At 41.7% G+C, this 20,859-nt stretch overlaps 1 protein-coding gene across 1 annotated transcript in view, besides 1 other annotated feature; it reads left to right on the plus strand.

Moving 5' to 3' along the window:
* Positions 1-17,913, plus strand: part of ADHFE1 (alcohol dehydrogenase iron containing 1) — a 36,404-nt gene extending 18,491 nt beyond the window's left edge. Inside the window, exons 9-14 of the mRNA NM_144650.3 lie at positions 959-1,111; positions 3,065-3,163; positions 5,823-5,901; positions 6,076-6,172; positions 9,314-9,471; positions 17,275-17,913. Coding sequence (NP_653251.2) covers positions 959-1,111; positions 3,065-3,163; positions 5,823-5,901; positions 6,076-6,172; positions 9,314-9,471; positions 17,275-17,358 — 670 coding nt within the window. The 3' untranslated portion in view covers positions 17,359-17,913. The remainder of the gene's footprint in view (positions 1-958; positions 1,112-3,064; positions 3,164-5,822; positions 5,902-6,075; positions 6,173-9,313; positions 9,472-17,274) is intronic.
* Positions 7,050-7,578: an enhancer, noted in NCBI's record as "OCT4-NANOG hESC enhancer chr8:67370279-67370807 (GRCh37/hg19 assembly coordinates)". NCBI's record gives its function as "activates a minimal SCP1, AML or CMV promoter by ChIP-STARR-seq in naive H9 embryonic stem cells {active_cell/tissue: H9 hESC(naive)}" and the evidence as "EXISTENCE:reporter gene assay evidence [ECO:0000049][PMID:30033119]".
* Positions 17,914-20,859: the final 2,946 nt, after the last annotated feature.

Below are 20,859 nucleotides of genomic sequence, written 5' to 3' on the forward strand. Positions count from 1 at the left end.
ATCTCCCTTCACAGTCAAGTGAAAGGAGAGTGTCCCAGAAACATTACAGAGGCCCCCATGGGGAATTATACTGAAAACTATAATTCATGCAAAATATAGTTCATGTTACACTGTGTTTCCAGTGCATCACTGATGTAGACGGTGATGTCTGTTCTCTTCTGCAGTTGATGAGCTAGAAGTCATGGCAGGCCAGCAGGTGGAGGCAGCTATGAAGCTTAGTTCTTGAAGTAGCAAACTCTGAGTTTACGGTACATAAGAGAAAAAGATCTGCTTTTTCTTCAGGCCAAGAATTAATAATAATAGTGAATACTAAGGTATACAATGTGCCAGGTACTCTTCTAAATACTTTACATGTGTCAACTCATCGAATTTTCACAGCCACATCATGAACCAGTACTATTATTTATCCCTGTCTTAGAGTCAGGGTAGTGCCTCACACCAGGTCCGCAGCAGGAATATCTTGTTCCAGGATTGACATCTGGGCAGCTGACCCCAAAGTCTATATTCTCACTCATTACACTGTAATTTTCATAGAAATCTGGTGTAGCTATGACCCACTTTTGGTAATATGGTATTTGATCAATGCAAGGTATAAAATGGTAAATATCTTCCATAAGGAAGTCATTTTTTAGATTCAGTGCTTTTTTGTTGCTCAAATATATAATTCGACACCATAAAAATGTATTGACACTAGAAAAGGTCCATATATAATCTTATACATACTACTCAAAAATACTGTAATGCTGTTAATGTAAACTCAACTGTATTAATTTATATTATAAGTAATGACTGTTGCAGGCAAGAGGTGGGCTGGTAGAATGTACTGTGATCATCAGTGTTAGATAATATATCCACTGTGGGTTGAGTGCCAAACAGCTCCAAGACAGGTTGTGATCTAAATGGAGGGAAGGAGGAAGATGACGCTTTCCATCTGTGTACTTTCAATATTTCTTTTTAGCCATGCCCTGGAGTCATACACCACCCTGCCCTACCACCTGCGGAGCCCCTGCCCTTCAAATCCCATCACACGGCCTGCGTACCAGGGCAGCAACCCAATCAGTGACATTTGGGCTATCCACGCGCTGCGGATCGTGGCTAAGTATCTGAAGAGGTATGTCACCCCGAAGGGGATAGAAATAGAACAGGAGGCCCACATTCTGCCAGCACGTGAAACATGACATGCCTGAGCCTGAAATATCCTGAGCAGGTCTGTTCCAGAAAAGCAGTCAGTGGATGCGCAGAAGCCCCAGACACCAGCAGCCTCTGGAGGGACCCAAGGGACAGGCAGATGAAAACTGGGTCCTTCAGTCCCTAAAAGGCAAAGGCAGCCAGGGGACAAACTAGGAGCCAAGCTAGGATGAGGGGTGGTGTCCTTTGAGATTTGGCTCCCCAGGGCAGAAATGAGACCCACACTGGCAGATGTTGGCTATGCCCATCCAGGCCCTGTCCGAAGACACACAGAATCCATCCTTTGAGTTAACTCAAATGAACTAAACTTAAGACATAAATGTGGGCTGGGCACAATGGCTCACACCAGTAATCCCAGCACTTTGGGAGGCCAAAGCAGGAGGATGGCTTGAAGCCAGGAGTTCGAGGTTGCAGTTAGCTATGATTGCACCACTGCACTCCAGCCTGGGTGACAGAGCAAGACCCTGTCTCAATTTAAAAAAGAAAAGAAAAGAGTAGAGATTGCTGTCCCAGGAGATATAAAAGGCAGAAAATGTAAAAAGATTCCTAAGAGGTTGTGACAGATTTATGAATACAAGTATATACATACATGTATAGCCATAGGCTACAGGAGAGCAAATAGCAATCAGGTCCTGAGACAGCAAAGATATACTTAGGATGAAAGCTGATACCTGAGATATTAGGACATACTCAAAGTCAGACTCACGTTTGTATTTATACATAATGGACAGAACGGCCACAGGTAGGCTAGGCCTAGACGTGAGCACGGTGCTTCCTCTGGCCTTGAGCTAGAAGCTCCACTGACAAAGGAGCCTTGGAATTGCATTTGTAGCAGAGCAGCAGGAAGGAACCCAATACTATTTCAGGTTTGTGGGGGACTCCCAGGACAGCACAGCAGCACTTGACTAGATCCAAACAGACACGCATCATGGGGAGCCAGTTTGTTTGACAGGGACAGAGGCTTGGCAGTGGCACAGCGGTGGTAGATAAGGAGAGATGGACAGAGGAAAGGCTGAAAGCTCCATCACCTGCTACTTCGCCTTGTCACTGGGGGAATAAGGAACTAACATGGGGTTTCAGAAAGGAGGCAGGAACACCCAACCATTCCACATGAAAGGAACATTTCAAATGAAAGGGGAAAAAAGGCTGTGCTTTTTTATTTCACCACAGGAACTCTTACGCAAGGCAAAATTGCAAAAAAGCCCACATGAAAAGTAGGTTCCCTTGACAGTCTTCAGGCTTCTTCCCTGGGGCAAGGTTTTAGCAGTGAGTGCAGGAAGGCTGTGCACAATCAGAAAGGGGCTTTTGAGAATTGACTTTTCCAAAGTGGCACTGGGGACACCCAGAGCAAGCTAAGGCTCATTCGACAATAACATCCACTTCCTCAATAATGTTGGCATAGAGGTGCAGCAACCACAGATATAAAGAGGCCCCCAGTGGGTCCAGTGGGAGGCAGTGTCTCAGAGAGAAAGAGCGCTGGCCGGCAGGTAGCCCCGGGCATCTGAGAATGTTTACATCCCTTCACAGGGCCGTCAACAGCACTGACAAATGAAGAAGAAGAATGAGTCTCAGGGCACCTTCCTGGAGTGGCCCTCGCCATCCAGGGACCAGCGCGTTGCCTCCCCCGGCGCTTTTACATCACATGAGCAGCTGACAGCGTATTTATTATGCCTTTGCTGAAACAGTTGATGAGAAATATGTTTCCCTTCAGTTTTCATTTAGAAGACAAGGCGTCGTTTGAATAACTTGCCTGATTTTTCTTCCTACCGAGTAGCATTTCTTTTTTTTTCACCATATCTTTCCCTAAGGCAGCTCCTTATTCTGTAGGAATTGCCAATGTTGATGTGTTATTGTTAGGTATTTATATCATTCACAGGGCTGTCAGAAATCCCGATGATCTTGAAGCAAGGTCTCATATGCACTTGGCAAGTGCTTTTGCTGGCATCGGCTTTGGAAATGCTGGTGTTCATCTGTGGTGAGCAAGTCTGAGATTTCATTTCTTTACTCAAGCTATTGCTTTAAAAAATTTTTAATGTTTATAATTCAGGACAGGTGGTAAAATTTAAATATGCTATAGAAGGAAGAAATTTAACTTTATGTTCCTAAATGTATTCTTCTTTTTCTTTTTTTCCTTTTTTCACCACCAGCTAAAGTAGAAACCTAAATGTATTCTTAAATTGAATGTGGTTCCTAAATGTATTCTTTTGTGTTCCTAAATGTATTCTTTTTCTTTTTTTCTTTTTTCCACCATCAGCTATAAAGTAGAAACCTAAATGTATTCTTAAATTGAATGTGGTTTACTGGGTTTTTTAATAACATATTTTTAAGGTATAATTCACATACTATACAATTCACCCATTTAAAATGTACAGAACATTAGTTTCTAATATATTCACAAAGTTTTGCCACCATCATCAATTTTAGAACATCTTATCACCCCAAAAAGAAATCCCATACCTCCTAGCTTCATCCACCAATCCCCCCACCTTCCCTAATACTTAGCAACTACCAATTTACTTTTTTTCTTTTTCTTTTTTCTTTTTTTTTTTAAGATGGAGTCTCACTCTGTTGTCCAGACTGGAGTGCGATGGCGCAGTCTTGGCTCACTGCAACCTCCACCTCCCAGGTTCAAGCAATTCTCCTGCCTCAGCCTCCTGATTAGCTGGGATTACAGATGTGCACCACCATGCCCAGCTAATTTTTTTATATTTCTTAAGTAGAGACGGGGTTTCACCATGTTGGCCTGGCTGGTCTCAAACTCCTGACCTTAGTTATCCACCCGCCTCCACCCCTCAAAGTGCTGGAATTACAGGCATGAGCCACCACGCCCAGCCTACTTTCTATCTCTGTAGACTTCCCCATTCTAGACATTTCATGTAAATGGAATCATAGAATATGTGGTCTTTTGTGTCTAGCTTTTTTCTTCTCTATGGACATAGGTTTTCCTTTCTCTTGTTATATAGGTAGGAGCAGAATTGCTGGGTCATATGGTAATTCTGTGTTTAAATTTTAAGATACTGACAGACTGTTTTCCACGGCATCTGCGCTGTTTTACATTCCCACCTGCAGTGGGTGAAGATTCTGATTTCTCCACATACTCACCATGTGTTGTGGATTTTTTAAACTTAAATGTAGGATTTTTCCCCCAATCTGTCACAAAAGAAAGGGATCAGAATGCTTGTCAATAGCCCAGAATTAATCTCTTTGATTGAAACTTTATTGGTATGTTGCTTTAAATTGAAAACCATTGAACTTTAAAAATTAAGAATAGGCCTTTGCTAGGGTGAGCGCAAGGAATGATCAGCCTCTGATGATCTACCACTGATGGGAGCATAAATTGGCAACACCTTTCCAAAAAGCAAGTGAGCAAAGTGTACCCAGAGCCTGAAAAATATTTATGCCCCTGGCCCCACCAATTCTCTTCTAGGAATCTAGCCTGAAGAAATACCCATGGCTGGGCACAGTGGCTCACGCCTCTAATCCCAACAATGGGAAGCCGAGTTGGACGGATCCCTTGAGCTGAGCCCAGGAGTTCAAGACCAACCTGGACAACATGGTGAAACCCCGTCTCTACAAAAGAAAATACAAAAATTAGCCAAGTGTGGTGGTGCATGCCTGTAGTCCCAGCTACTCAAACACCTGTAGTCTCAGCCACCCTGAGGCAGGAGGATCGCTTAAGCCAGGGAGGTCAAGGCAGCAGTGAGCCAGAATTGCTCCACTCCAGCCCAGGCAACAGAGTGGGACCCTGTCTCAAAAAAACCCAAATAAACAACAACAACAAAAAAAACTATAATATTTTCCTATTTGTTCATCAATAGTTCAAGAGGATATAAAAAATTTTTCACTAAGCGTGGTGGCTGGATCCTTCCTCACTTGAGCCCAGGAAGTCGAGGCTGCATTGAGCTATGATCACACCATTGCACTTTAGCCTGGGTGACAGAGTGAGATACCATCTCTAAAAAAAAAAAGAATTTTTCAGTAAAAACAAAAACCATAATGCCTTTTCTTGATGTCAACTAAATCTAAACAAATCCTTAAGGTAGAATTTAGCAAGAGAAATCAGTCAAACCAGAACTGATTAACATAGCCTGTCAGGCTAGAATAATCATTTCTGACTGGACTCTGTGAGTATGTAACATTTGAAGGGATCTGTCAGTTACTGGTGGGACAGATCACTGATGGGTCAAGCTTGCACGTCATCAAATACAGCACATCCTGACTCACAAAATTCCCCCGACATCATCTGGGAGCACACTGCCAAGGAACTGCCAGGGAAAAACAGAAAACACATGCCCAGAGCTTATTACAGAAACTTCGAAGTGAATTACCGAGTCTTTGAGATCGTAATGTTAACTAATGGGTTCAGGGAGCTACTTCTGGATCAATACTTTTTAATGTCATACAATTCTATGAGCATTTGAATTTGAGCATTTTCAGAGGTTTTGTTAATGAATGCACTACATGTCCTAGACATCATAATATATCCTTATATCCAAGAAAACAGAACATATCACTTTTTCAGGTAATGATACTGTCTAGAGGCCGTGACAGGCATCCCCATAAGAGTATCTTTCTATTGTTGACTTGAATTTTGATAACTGTGTATGAACATAAGGATTTTCTTTCTTTTCTAGCCATGGAATGTCTTACCCAATTTCAGGTTTAGTGAAGATGTATAAAGCAAAGGATTACAATGTGGATCACCCACTGGTGGTAAAATCATAAGAATAAATTATTTAATTAAATATTATAATCATCCCAATTTCCATAAATATATTTGCCAATTCTCGCCTGCTTAGAGTATGGGGTAAAGTAACTTAACATCTAGAATATGCAGGGAAGAACAGCTTTGTCATCTGCCGGTCACCGCATTTCGTTTCTCCCCAGCCCCATGGCCTTTCTGTGGTGCTCACGTCCCCAGCGGTGTTCACTTTCACGGCCCAGATGTTTCCAGAGCGACACCTGGAGATGGCAGAAATACTGGGTATGAACCATTACTCAAAATTCTGTGACCGGCCAGGCACGGTGGCTCCCATCTGTAATCCCAGCATTTTGGGAGGCTAAGTTGGGTGCATCACTTGAGCCCAGGAGTTCAAGACCAGCCTGGGCAACATGGCAAAACCCCATCTCTACCAAAAAAAAAAAAATAGCCGTGTACAGTAGTGCAAGACCATAGTCCCAGCTACTTGGGAGGCTGAAGTGGGAGGATCATCTGAGCCCAGGAAGTTGAGGCTGCAGTGAGCTGTTATCATGCCACTGCACTCCAGCCTGGGAGACAGAGTGAGACTCTCTCTCTCAAAAAAAAAAAAAAGAACCATAAAGGACAATACCAAAAAATATTGCTTTGCGATAGCTTAATAATGAAATGTCAGGCTGGGCACAGTGTAATCCTAACACTTTGGGAGGCTGAGGTGGGAGGATAGCTTAAGCTCAGACGTTTGAGACCAGCCTGGGCAACATAGTGAGATCCTGTTTCTTTAAAAACATTTTTAAAATATAAATATATGATTAAAAATGTCAGTGACTTGACCAAAGCCCTATCTAGCACTAAAATTCTGTCATTATTATGTTTCTGAGAGTATTGAGAGTATTTGTAGTAATACTGTTTCCTGTTTTTATCTCAAGGGAAAGTATAATTATTTTTATATTTTTAATGTTATAAATGACTTTTGCTATGTTCGATAATAAAATGAATCTGTATCAGGAAGCAGGAGTAAATTCCTAATTATAGAGAATCAAAACAACTGGAAACTTTTTTTCACCAAAGCCTGCAAAGGTCCTGATCAATTAGAAACTTTATAAAAATATCCTGAAAGAGGAGTCTGTTTGCCATACTGTAGAATAAATAATGTCAATAATAAGATATCCACAGTACCTTTTGAATCTTACCAGAAATAAAATGATATTCAGGATAGCTTTAATGGTAAGTAAAATGTTGGTGTTTTGCTAATACAAGAACTCTTTTAAGTAGACTTGAATATTTTATTAACTTGCAAAACATCTTATTCCGCCACTTGTGTTTAGTTAGGGCAAGAAGGGAAAGGCTAAAAAGAAAACTTCATTATGCTCTCCTAGCCCAGCCGTTGGAGAGATTATTTCCAGGGAGGTAGGAAGGACCGCAGACATCCTCCTGCAGGAGCTCCCGCTGAGTCCCAGGTGCTGTGCTGGGAATGTTAATGACACAAGCCCAGGGCAGAGAGGGGCCAGGGGCTCCATTTCCCAGAGGGTGCTGAGGGGAAACAGTGCAACTTTGCCAAGGATCTGTGTCCCTTTTCTCTTTCGGACTGGAGATGTTGTTCAGCCATATTTTGGGACTCAGCTGCCTTTGTGTATATTCAAAGCATGTAAATAAGAAGAGAGAGCGCAAATCATAGGCTACATTTATGATAAATGGGAAAATCTTAGAGAACTTAAAGTTAACACTCTAGGCAACTAGCAACACTACTGAGAAGGGAGTTCCTCTGTTAGACAAATTCCAGGCTGGAAGAACCCACTGATTCTTCCTTCTTGAATGGGAAGTTTTAATGTTATCTACACTTAGCTATCCCACACGATGAAATATTTTGATTCTCCATGTCATCTTAGATTTCTTAGCTTAGAATACTGATGTATTCTTTTTCCTACCATCTCTTTTTTTTCTGTAACACTTCATAGGAAAATGCAGAGATTTCGATGGTGTTTTATGGCAGTATTCCCAGGAACATTAAAACTTCATAAACTTCGTATCATGTGTCACCACTCCACCTAATCCATATTTTAGCTGCCGCTGGGTAATACAGACTGGTCTTGTCAGGCAAGGTTTACCTTTCATCCGGCTGCTCTCCCAGCCAGCCCCGTATCTGGTTCTATTCATACCTTTTCCTGGATTCCTAAGAGTTCTCACTGTCATGGAAGAGAAAGCTAAAAACCGATTTAATAATGTGCTTCAATATGGAGGTGAAAGTAGTCACGATCTCCTTTTGAACAATACAAGAGAAAGTGGACTTAGACTACTGTGGGAGGCATTTTGCATAGACTTCATATAATGCTACACTCTGTAGAGGGCTTTACTTCTTGGCAGTGAATGTGTTTGGCTAGAATATATGAGAATGTAGGGTGCTAAGGGTTGTGAAATCAGTTCCCTTCCTCTGGGAACTTTCTCTGTCACCCTGCCTGAGGGCAGAACCTCCCGCGTGGCTCTTCCAGATTGCCATTTCCATGATTATGTGCATTATTTTTTAATTTTTATTATATATATATATATATATATTTTTTTTTTTTTTTTAACAGAGACAGGGTCTCACTGCTCAGGTTGGTCTTGACCTCCAGGACTCAAGTGATTCTCCTGCCTCAGCCTTCCAAAGTGCTGGGATTACAGATGTGAGCCACCAGGCCCGGCCTCTTAATTACTAATCATGTAAAAATTCTGCCCTTATGTATCTTCTTTCATCAATACCATTATTATCTGCATATGAAACGCTGTTTTCTGAGAGCCTTCATGTTCTTTGGTCCTGCCCAGCTGGTTCTATAATATTTATTTAGAGGAACCTACCCTGCCCTTTGGCAACAGAATCTAAAATTAAAAGTTTTATAGCTATAGAGGACAAAAATTTTCCTCCCTGTTCACACATAATCCATTTTTATCATGCTTATTTTCTTTTTGGTGGTTAATTTTAGAGCTTTTGTACTTCTGTAAGCTTGTCTCACAGGGTGTTTGCAAAGGATTTGTCTTTTTCTAAGATGTTGCTGTGGGAAAAGACGTTGAACACATCATACACCTCTAGATGTCAGCAAATTCCAAGCCTTGAAATTACATAAGCTGTGTGTTCTTCAAATATTCATTCCTCCATCCCAGCACCAGCCGACTTTCTTGCCTTGTTCTGCACCTCTCTTCTTGTCTTTGTTCCTCTTCTTCCTACCACACAAGGGGCAAGTATGTAGGACTTGGCAGCCCCTCCGAAATGTCAGAGCTAAGTGAGCTCCCCCAGCCAACTTGGGCCCTCCTGGGGAGGCACACGATGGCCCCGTGCTGGGCGTTAGGGAGACCCCGTGGGTGTGCATGGTGTATTCACTGATCTTGTGACTGAACTCCACCCAGAGCCCGTTTCTTCCTCTCTCCCTACAGTCAGCACTTTATGTCTTCTAGGAGCCGACACCCGCACTGCCAGGATCCAAGATGCAGGGCTGGTGTTGGCAGACACGCTCCGGAAATTCTTATTCGATCTGGATGTTGATGATGGCCTAGCAGCTGTTGGTTACTCCAAAGCTGATATCCCCGCACTAGTGAAAGGAACGCTGCCCCAGGTAAGAGACCGGCAGGCTCCTCACTCCCTGCGAAGGAGCCTAGCGCCTCCAGAAAGACATGCTGCATTGATGGCGGGCTAGCAGGGATGGAAACCAGGGCTCCCCGGTGGTTCTCGGGTCTCCTCCACAGCAGACAGCAGTTCTGTCCTTTCCTGGTGCAACAGGGCCAGGCCCTCGCCTTTCTGTTCATCCATACAGCTGTAGCTGAGGTGAGGCTTTTATGAAAATTTTCATGAAGGGATGGATCCTTTATGAAAATTCAAGGCAAAAACAACCAAACTGATCTTGAACTATGGCAAAATTTCCCTTTTCCCCATTTCTGTTCTTTGAAGGGCTCCTATAAATAACTATGTGAAGCTGTTCCAAAAGGACCACCAATATTATTTTCCATTGTAAAAGAGTTCCAGGTCTCTACTATTTTGTGAAGAATAGGCATAGCCTTTCAATTAACACTATCACCAAATTGCTTTCGATGAATGTGGGAGATTGTATACTTGATACATATCTGTGTCACTATGGGTCTGATTTCATTTCTTAAATTTTTGTGAAGAATGTGAATGGAGCTGCATCCCTAATTCGGTAGAATCATACTAGGTGTAAAGTTTGCTCTTCTGAGGTTCTCATGAAGAACTCTGATCCCTCAGTGGACCTCTCTTGAGCTAGCACATCAGATCCTAATAGGCCAAGGTCCTGTTCATTGCAATTCACCATAAAGCAGAGAGCTCAGAGCATGAGTGCTTGGTTGGTGGACCACACCATAGTCGCCATGCCCAGAATACTCCTTTAGTCCTCTTGGCCAATATGGGAAAGGCAGAGGTCACCTCAATGCTATGAGGGTATGAGGATAAGGATCTTCTGCCACAGGCTAAGGCATTCCCTGACCATGGAACAGAGTTAGCAGCTGAAACATCCACTCACACAGCAGCCTGCTTGCCACAAGTGCTGGTGCTTTTCCCTCACCCCACTCCAAGTAGGCAAGGGCCTCAAACTAGCTTCTTCCTCCCCACTTCGCTAGTGCTTAGAATGTTGACAGCCTCACCACTCACTTAAGATAATATTTATATAGATTGTGTTCATAGACTCATGTGTCCACAGGAGCCAGGTAGAGAATAGCAGTGAACAATGTCATGTAAGGCCTTAGGGAGTGGTGGGGACTTTGGTAAGCCAGAAAGCACGTGACCCATCTAACTGGGTGAGCAGCTCAGCTGCAGTTTATCATCACCAAGCAGAAGATCAGGTCCCAGTGTTGGTAGAACTACCAACTCTCAAGAAAAATCAGCAATCCGGATGTTTGTGTTGAATTCCCTGGTTTCCAATGCACAAATGAAATGTAGTCCGTGAACCACCAGTTTCCCTGATTTGGATTCAGGCTCAGTGAATTCAATTGCATCTACAAATAGAAATGAACAAGAAACAAAGGAGTCTCAAAGTATAGGAGAGACCCTGGGCTAACCCACAAACCCTTAATTCTAACCCATACGTCCAAGGGACCAAATCACTAAAAAAATCACACTCTCTAACGCCCTCACAGTTATTTTATCCAAGCCTACCAGCCTGTAAGTCCTGTGAGGGCAGGAATCTGTCTGCTTGGCTCATCCATTTTCCATTGCACCTAGCACAGGCTAGTAAACATGTTAAACGAACACATACCTCCATTCCTCTCCTCCTAAGTCCTCTGTCTAGGTAAGCTTTAATGGCTGACTGAGGATAACTTTTTGAAAAGTTTCCTTAGACTGACTAGGACTCAACCAAAGACAGGGGAGCCATGAAAGCTCAGGGACACCGTAGACTGAGTGGTCATAGTGATTTTTTCCGGAGGGAGGGACAGGGCTGGAGTGCAGTGGCATAATCACAGCTCACCACAGCCTTGACCTCCCAGGCTCAAGTGATCCTCTGTCCTCAGCCTCCCGAGTAGCCAGCACTATAGGTGTGTGCCACCATACCAGGCTAATTTTTTTAACTTTTTTGTACACAATAGGTCTCACTGTGTTACCCAGGCTGGTCTTGAATTCCTGAGCTCAAGCAATCCTCCTGCCTTGGCTTCCCAAAGTCCTAGGGTTATAGATATGAGCCACAGTGCCTGGCATTCACTGCAATTTTAATGTAGCTTCTGGCTTTATGGCATGGTCCCAGTGACACTGTCCACCCTGCAAGGGGCCTTCCAAAAGGTTCTGTTTGTTTAGCCCAGGAAAGTGTTCAGGAAAATGTGTGGGTCCATCTCTAAGAATGGTATCCATGATTTTCAGATGAAACTGTCTGATACCCTTGGCGATTTGATTGCTGACCATCAGTACACACTGACAGGTGTTTACTCTTCTAATTCTACTGTGGTCAGACTGTCACTTTCTTTTGTTTGTTTTGTTTTTTGTTTTTGAGACAGAGTTTCACTCTCATTGCCCAGGCTGGAGGGCAGTGGTGCAATCTTGGCTCACTGCAACCTCTGCCTGCCGGGTTCAAGTGATTCTCCTGCCTCAGCCTCCCGAGTAGCTGGTATTACAGGCACACACCACCATGCCCAGCTAATTTTTGTATTTTTACTAGAGACGAGGTTTCACCATGTTGGCCAGGCTGGTCTCAAACTCCTGACCTCAGGTGATCCGCCCACCTCAGCCTCCCAAAGTGCTGGGATTACAGGCGTGAGCCACCACAACTGGCCCAGACTGTCACTTTCAAAAGCTATTCCACGTAGCAGCAGATCCAGCTTAACATTTGAGACCACTAAAATAGCACTAAATTAACACTAAAATAGCAACTTAATTAGGTATCATTCTGAATGCCTCAGTGCACATGCAATACTGGGAAATCACAGATAGCAAAATCTTAATTGGACAAAACCAATTTCTTAGTTTTACAAAAATGGGAGGTAAATGGAATCTTTTGGATATAAGTTCTGTCTTAAAGTAGGAAGCCAGATTTTCCTCAGGCTGTATTCATAAAACACCCCAAGGCATCTGCTGCCTTTTTTCCTCTGATCATGTTTTCATGATTCAGAGAAATATAGTTAATTTTAATTAAACTAGCCCTAGGTTCATTTGGAGTCTACGTGATTGAGATATGTGTATATTCACAGATCGATAGGACTTTGGTAGGAATCTTAGAAATAAGCTTGTCCATTTTGCAGATGAATAACTACTATGGAATTTTGTTTGTTTGTTTGATGGCAGTGACTGTTTTACAGGAATGCTGTGGCCACTTCAGAGTTTTACACATGCAATAGACTAATCTTCGCTTATTAGTATCTCCAGGATTTAAGGTAGTGAGAAGAATATACTGGCTCCTCCAAAGAACGTCACCAGAAAGGTTATTCAATGTAGTTGACATTTGATGAAGGTTCTTTTCTGTTCAGCAGTGAAGGATTGGTTTTCTCTGGAAGAAACAACCAGGCCAGTATTCTTGACCAAACACAGCCCATACTGGTGGCAGCTAATAGCAGCCCTGTGTACAGAGGCTTTCAACTGCCATAGCCAGGCTGCAAGGGGAGCAGGCAAGAATATATTAATCTTCCAAGCTGGATTTCTAAAACCCCTGGAAAGAAACATTTACATTTCAAATCAAAACATTTCATTACTGAGGAGCGCTGTCTACCCAAATGAGCACTTCCACTCCCTGGTAGACAGGCCAGCTGAAATGTTGTTATTTCATGAACGTGCTAAAAGTAGATGTCTGAATTTATTTCGTTCCCATGTTAATGAGTTGTCCTTCACTCTTACATGCCTATAAATAATAGCACATCATTGCTTAACATATCTTAATTCTGAGAGAGTTTAGCTTTTTTATGGCAGAGCTGATATGTATAGGGACATATCACAAACTTTATGTCCTTGTCCTGTTTAACCAATCACTGGGGGCCAGAAACGCGAAACAGAAACTCAGCTCAGGCTTGGCTTCAAATACTTCTAAGAGTCCTGCACCGCTCCACCAAAGATAAACAGGATCATGTCAAGGGCCTTTGAGCTCATCAGATAAGACTCTCTCCCATTATGAACAACGTAACTTGCCATCATCTGCAGTTACAGCAAACACTGAACTTCAGTTCTTGACCCTGCACAAACACATACATAATGAGACCCTCTGCCTTGCTATGGATTTCCAAAATTCCTTAGGGTCTCTTAAAAATCTGCTGGGATGTGAAACTTTGTCTTTACCTCACCCATACTCATAGGCATTGTCCCTCACCCCTCTCTCATCTGTCCCTCTATCCTTTCTTCCTGCTTTAACTTATCTTTTAAATTGTGATAAAATATGTATAACATAAAATTTACCATTTTAACCATTTTTAAGTGTACAATGCCATGCCATTAAATACATGCACAATGTTGTGCAACCATCACCACTATCCATTTTCAGAACTCTTTTTTTAATCATGCCAAACAAGTGGTGTGTCTGTTAAACACGAATTCCCCGTTCTCCCCTTCTCACAGCCCCTGGGAACCTCTGTCCTACTTTCTGTCTCTATGAATTTGCCTATCCTAGGTACCTCATGTAAGTGAAATCATACAATATTTGTCCTTTTGTGACTGGCTTATTTCACCCAGCACAGTGCCTTTAGTGTTCATCCACGTTGTAGCATGTGTCAGAATTTTATTCCTTTTTTATAGCTGAATAATGTTCCATTGTATGGATATACTACATTTTGGTTATGCATTTACCTATTGATAGACACTTGGGTTGTTTCCACCTTTTGACTATTATGAATAATGCTGCGATGAATATTGGTGTACAAGTATCTATTTGAGTCCCTGCTTTCAATTCTTTGGGGTATATACCTAGGAGTAGAATTGTTGTATCATATAGTAACTCTATGTTTAACTTTCTGAGGAACTGCTAAACTGTTTTCTATAGTGGCTGCACCATTTTACATTTCCATTAACAGTGCACCAGGGCTTCAGTTTCTTCACATCCTCAACAACACTTGTTATTTTTCTTTTGTGTGTGTGTAATAGCCATTCTAATGGTGTGAAGTGGTATCTTATTGTTTTGATTTGCATTTCCCAAATGACTAAGGATGGTGAGCATCTTTTCATGTGCTTATTGGCTATGTATATATATATATTCTTTGGAGAAATAACTAATCAAGTCCTATGCCCATTTTTGAATTGAGCTGTTTGAGGTTTTTTGTTGGTGAGTTGCAAGAATAATTTTTTTCTTTTTTTGAGACGGATTCTTGCTCTGTCATCAGGCTGGAGTGCAGTGGTGCAATCTTGGCTCACTGCAACCTCCGCCTCCTGGGTTCAAGCAGTTCTCCTGCCTTAGCCTCCTGAGTAACTGGGACTACAGGCGTGCACCACCACACCCGGCTAATTTTTGTATTTTTAGTAGAGATGGGGTTTCACTGTGTTGGCCAGGATGGTCTCAATCTCTTGACCTCATGATCCACCCGCCTCGGCCTCCCAAAGTGCTGGGATTACAGGTGTGAGCCACTGTGCTCAACCAGAATAATTTTTATATCCTGAATATTAATCCCTTATCAGATATATGATTTGCAATTTTTTTTAATTTTGTTGTCTTTTCACTCTCTTGACCATGTCCTTTGATGCACAAAAGTTTTAAATTTTTATTCAGCCTAGTTTATCTGTTTTTTTTTTTCTTTTTTCCCTGTGCTTTTTCTTTTTTTTCTTTTAGAGACAGAGTCTTGCTCTGTTGGCCAGGCTGGAGTGCAGTGGTGCAATCTCGGCTCACTGCAATCTCCACCTCCCAGGCTCAAGCAATTCTCCTGCCTCAGCCTCCTGAGTAGGTGGGATTATAGCTGCCCACCACCACACCCAGCTGAATTTTTTTTTTTTTTTTTTTTTGTATTTTTAGTAGAGACAGGGTTTCACCATGTTGGCCAGGCTGGTCTCGAACTCCTGACCTCAAGTGATCCGCCTGCCTCAGCCTCCCAAAGTGCTGGGACCACCGCACTGGACTCCCTGTGCTTCTGGTGTTACATCCAAGAAATCATTGCCAAAGCCAATATTCCTAAAGATTTTTCCCTAATTATTCTTCTAAGAGTTTTAGGGTTCTAGCTCTTACATTTAGGTTTTTGATGCATTTTGAGCGAATTTTTTTAATACATCCATCCTTCTTTTCATTCCTTTTACCAGACAAAACAAATACCTACTGTATACCATGCATTGTACGGTATACTAAAAGAAGGAAAATAAAGTCCCTTTTCTCCTTTGTGAAGCTTACCTTCTAGTGAGGGGAGACAGTGAACATCTATAAATAAGATGTAAATGAAATCATTTCAGATAATGATTAGTGTATGAAGGAAAACCTGCATAAGGAGATAGAGAGTGATCTCACGGGGAAAGTGTGGAGAGATCTCCAGCCAGGGTGTTGGGAAGGTGCATGATGATAGGCCAATGCTTTCTAGGCAGAGGGGAAGGGCCCTGAGGCAGGGTCAACGTTAGCATATTCAAGGAACTTAAAAGGGATGGTGGGACTAAGTGAGGTGTTAGAGCTGGGGCAGGAAACAGAGCCAGATCGGGGTAGCCTTAGAGGCCATGGTTTTGTTGTAATTGCCACAGGCATTTATCTGCGAGCATTAAACACAGGAATGGTAGGATTCAGTTTATACTGGAAAAAAATCACTTTGGCTGCTGTGGGGAGAATGACCTCTGGGGGGCAAGAATGGAGCAAAAGTGGAAACAGACCTTTCAGGAAGCTTCTCAAGCTGGACAGGCGAGTGATAGCAGTGTCCTGGATTCCGGTTGTGGTACCACAGGAGGTGAGAAGCGCTCTGACTGGGGCTTCATTTTGGAAGTAGGACTGACACTCCTGCTGATGAGTTGAACTTGCAGAGCAAGGGAAAGGGGAATCAAGTGTGGCTCCTGGGTTTTGCCTGAGCTACTGGGTGTCATTTCTGAGATGAGAAAATGGTAGGAGCGGTGGGGTGGGAGAGTCAGAGTTCTATCTTGTATATGTGAACTTTGAGACTCCAGTATCCCCCTCCCCACCATCTTCACTAATTCAGCAGATAACTGTTGAGCATCTACTTACTATGTAAAGCCCTCTGGTAGGCGCAGGGCAGAGAGCAGTGCACACAGCTGAGCCCCTGGCCTCACAAGTTTCCCTTCCACTAGCTACACTCCCAAACACATGCCAGCAATAGAAAACATGCCCAGAGACCCATGAAAATGGAACCTCAAAATGGACATTCCTCAGTTTCATGCAGGTGCCAGGGGAGTCATCGCTGTACATTTTAGCCCCTGTCCCCGAGAAGCTACTGACCAGAGTATAAATAGAAGTAGGATGTGCTGGATGTCTTCGCTGAATTGACTCAATAATCATTGGAGAAATTAACAAATCACTGGATTTGCTTGGGAACATAGAGATAAAACCTTAGTTAATAGAAAAAAACGGAGTCACTTGTTGCACATAGCATGAACATTAATGTTCTACTGAAGTCCTTTTGAATATGCCTTAAGTCCAAGTTGCAAAATACATGGTCTTAGACTTCGGGGACGACCCAGTTCTCTCTCAGAGCTCTGTGTGTACAGAGAACCTGGCAGAGGTGGTTGACTGACCTAGTTTTGTCATGATAAGGGTGTTTTCCCCAAGATTGGTTTCGGCAGAAGGCTGTTGCCAGGGCGTAAGGCAAGGGGCAGTGGCTTTCGAAAGCTCTGTGGGGAAAGAGGTATGATGTGATAAACCTCTGAGATGGGGATCAACTCATATGAAGTATACAAGAAATACCGTTTTTAAAGATATGGCGTTTATCAAGTCATTGATTCTTATGACCAAGTTAATTTCCATAACTTTGTAGCTTTTACAAACTGCCTTTTCAAAGCCCTGGGTAACTTCTTTCATTTACTGTTTCAGGAAAGGGTCACCAAGCTTGCACCCTGTCCCCAGTCAGAAGAGGATCTGGCTGCTCTGTTTGAAGCTTCAATGAAACTGTATTAATTGTCATTTTAACTGAAAGAATTACCGCTGGCCATTGTAGTGCTGAGAGCAAGAGCTGATCTAGCTAGGGCTTTGTCTTTTCATCTTTGCGCATAACTTACCTGTTACCAGTATAGGTGGGATATACATTTATCTTGCAGGAAATTCCCCAAAGCTCAGAGTCCAGTTCCTTCCATAAAACAGGCTGGACAAATGACCACTATGTTAGACCCCCAGGCTCGACTTCAGGGGTCAGTGTTCCTGTCCCAAACCCCACACAGAATACTCTGCCTCTGTTTCATGTAGCAAATGAGCAAAAACTCAGTATCTATCAAAAGTGTAAATTATATTTCCTATGCCTAGTAATTCACTTCATGTCTAAAAATTTATCTGATAGAAACACTAGCACCAGTACATACAGAAGCATGGCAAGGATGTTTCTGGCAGCACTTTTCTAATAATAAAAGATTTGAAACAACCTTAAGTATTCATTATTGGTATATAGATCACTTATAGTATACTAGACAGTGGAATACTATGGTACTGTTAATAAAGATGAAGTAAATCTCTTGGAAATGAGTCCATAATATACTGGGAAGTTGGCAGAAAGCAAGCTACCAAATAATTATATATTAGTATGATCTGATTTTTACTTTTTCAATTATACATAAACATATATCTACATATACATACAAAAGAAAGATACACATCAAAATTTAAAAGTTATTACTGGAGAAATGGAATTTGGGGTGTGGAGAACTAAGAGAAAATGTTCACTTTATTTATTTATTTATTCATTTATTCATTTATTTTTATTTATTTTTTTGAAATGGAGTCTTGCCCTGTCTCCCAGGCTGGAGTACAGTGGTACGTTCTCGGCTCACTGCAACCTCCACCTCCTGGGTTCAAGTGATTCTCCTGCCTCAGCTTCCTGAGTAGCTATTTATTTATTTTTTGAGACAGGGTCTCACTCCTATTGCCCAGGCTGAAGTGCAGTGGTACAATCATGACTCGCTGCAGCCTCCACTTCCCGGGCTCAGGTGATCCTCCCATCTCAATCTGCTGAGTAGCCGGGACTACAGGCATGCACCACCATGCCTGACTTATTTATTTATTTATTTTTGTATTTTTTGTAGACACGGGGTGTCGCCATGTTGCCCAGGCTGGTCTCAAACTCCTGAGCTCCAGTGATCCTCTCGCCTTGGCCTCCCAAAGTCCTGGGATTACAGGCATGAGCCACCACTCCCAGCCTCATTTTTTATTTTATAAACTTCTGTATTGTTTGGATTTGCTACAACAAGCATATATTACTTTTCTAACATTTATAAAAGAGAAGGGAAAGGAAAGAAAAATGTCATTTTAATGTTTTAGGTCAGATTCGTTTTATTTTATAAAAATACTAGTAACGTATTTAAAAGGTAAAAACAAATCCACAGGGGTAAAATATTAGAGACCAATCCTCTGGTGAATAAGTTGGTTTTTTTGTTTTGTTTTGTTTAAAAAAAAAAAAACAAAAACAAAAACAAAAAGCAAAAACTAACATCCTACATGGTTATTCCCTCTGGAAAAATGTTTCTGGTGCTCTGAATACATTAATTCGAAAAGAAGCAGTTTTGTAGGTTACAGATTACAGCATGCAAGTAGAATCCAACTAGTGTGATACTCTTCCTCCCTTTTATTCCCAGGCTACAGAAACCTGGACAGCTCATTTTTCCTTTCAAAAGTTAACCCACTGAGGTTTTCTTGCCCAAGCTTTGGCAGTATAGATCTCAGAGTACTTGCAGATTTACTCACATTTTAAATTGAATTAAATTTTTAATCTTATAAATGAGTAATATAATTACTTCAGGATTTTTTTCAAACAGATGAGAAAAGCATTACTGTGCCATTCAACTTGCCTAGGCCACTTGATCTCCATAAAGGTCTTTATTTTGTTGAGATTTTAAAATAATGTTTATTGGGGGTTTTCTCTAACTACAGACATAAAATATATTCGGTACCAAAAACTGTTAATACAAAGATAAACACAAAAGAAAATCATTGTTCATACTGCACCATCCAAAAGATAGCTATGTAAAAATTTTGTATATGTTATTCCAGTAATTTTGTATGCATAAATATATGTTGTATAACTAGCTATATATGTGTACATTTTTTACTTAGAAATGGTATTATTAAGGTGTAATTTTAATTTCTACAGAACATTCAAATTTTTTTATACCAAGTGCCCCAAACATAGGCTTAAGATGGTGCCAGTAGAATTTCAGCTACACCTTGCAGATCATAGCTAGCTAAAATTTCTTCTAGCTCTTCAGGAGAATCCTGGAGATGAGGGCAGAAGCTGGGCATGAATGAGGCAGAGAACAGCTAAACTCTGCCAATCTGAGATCCTTCAGGAAACTTCAGTAAAAGTTGTTAATGAGAGTCTCAAAATATATTTAGCATGGCAAAAACTTATATGTATACACATACACATATATTTTTCCCTCACCACCCCCACCTCAGAAGCAGTCTAGGTAAGTTTGAGAACACTTATAATATATTAGGCAATGTGATATGACATTATTAGAAGAGCATTAGGCTAGGGTTCAAGGGCCCTGGATTTTGTTTCAGTTTTGTCTGAGTCTTAGTTCATTCAACTAAGGCCTCTTCCAGCTTGAAAATGCTATGAGGCCGGGCACAGTGGAGGCTGAGGCAGGAGGATTGCTTAAGTCCAGGAGTTTTGAGACCAGCCTGGGCAACATGGCATGGTGAAACACCATATCTACAAAAAATACAAAAATTAGCTGGGCGTAGTGGTGCATACCTGTAGTCCTAGCTACTCAGGAGGCTGAGGCATGAGAATCACTTGAACCTGGAGGGTGGAGGTTGCAGTGAGCTGAGACCACATCACTGCACTCTATCCTAGGCAACAGAGCAAAACTCTGTCTCAAAAAAAAAAAAAAAGAAAAGAAAAGAAAAGAAAGAAAGAAAATGCTATGACTAGGTTTTATGTATTACCTGGTCCTTAATGTGAGATTTTCGAATTGGGAAAATTCGATGTAAAATAATTTGAGATACAAATATGCATTCTCCCCCCATCTCTCTCAAATGTTCAGTGCCTTTGCTAACAGTAGCCAGACGTCTGAATGTGACTCACCAAGAGGAGTGTTTGGTATTCATATTGATGATGACTCTGTAGAGGAAGAATTTAAAGGTCAAGCATGAAGAAACAGATTTAGGAAGACTTGGTGTTTTTATCTGGATACCCATCATTCTGGCCCTTACAATTAGAGATTATGGAAAAGGTGAGTTTTGTGACTTACTAGCTATTAAAAGAGGATAAGCTAGATTAGGCCCATTTCTGTAAATCAAACATTTCATGTTTCAGAGACAATAATTAAGTGTATTTTTTCTGATTCTGTATCCTATTTTTCTATAGATGTCCTTTAAGAAAAATTCTTAAGAGTCGCAGCTCCATTTATGTGGATTAAAATACCTACCAAGGCAAGGACATTTAATAGAGTGGTATTCAAGAGTTTG

Source organism: Homo sapiens, chromosome 8, assembly GCF_000001405.40.
Source record: "Homo sapiens chromosome 8, GRCh38.p14 Primary Assembly".
Lineage (NCBI taxonomy): Eukaryota > Metazoa > Chordata > Mammalia > Primates > Hominidae > Homo > Homo sapiens.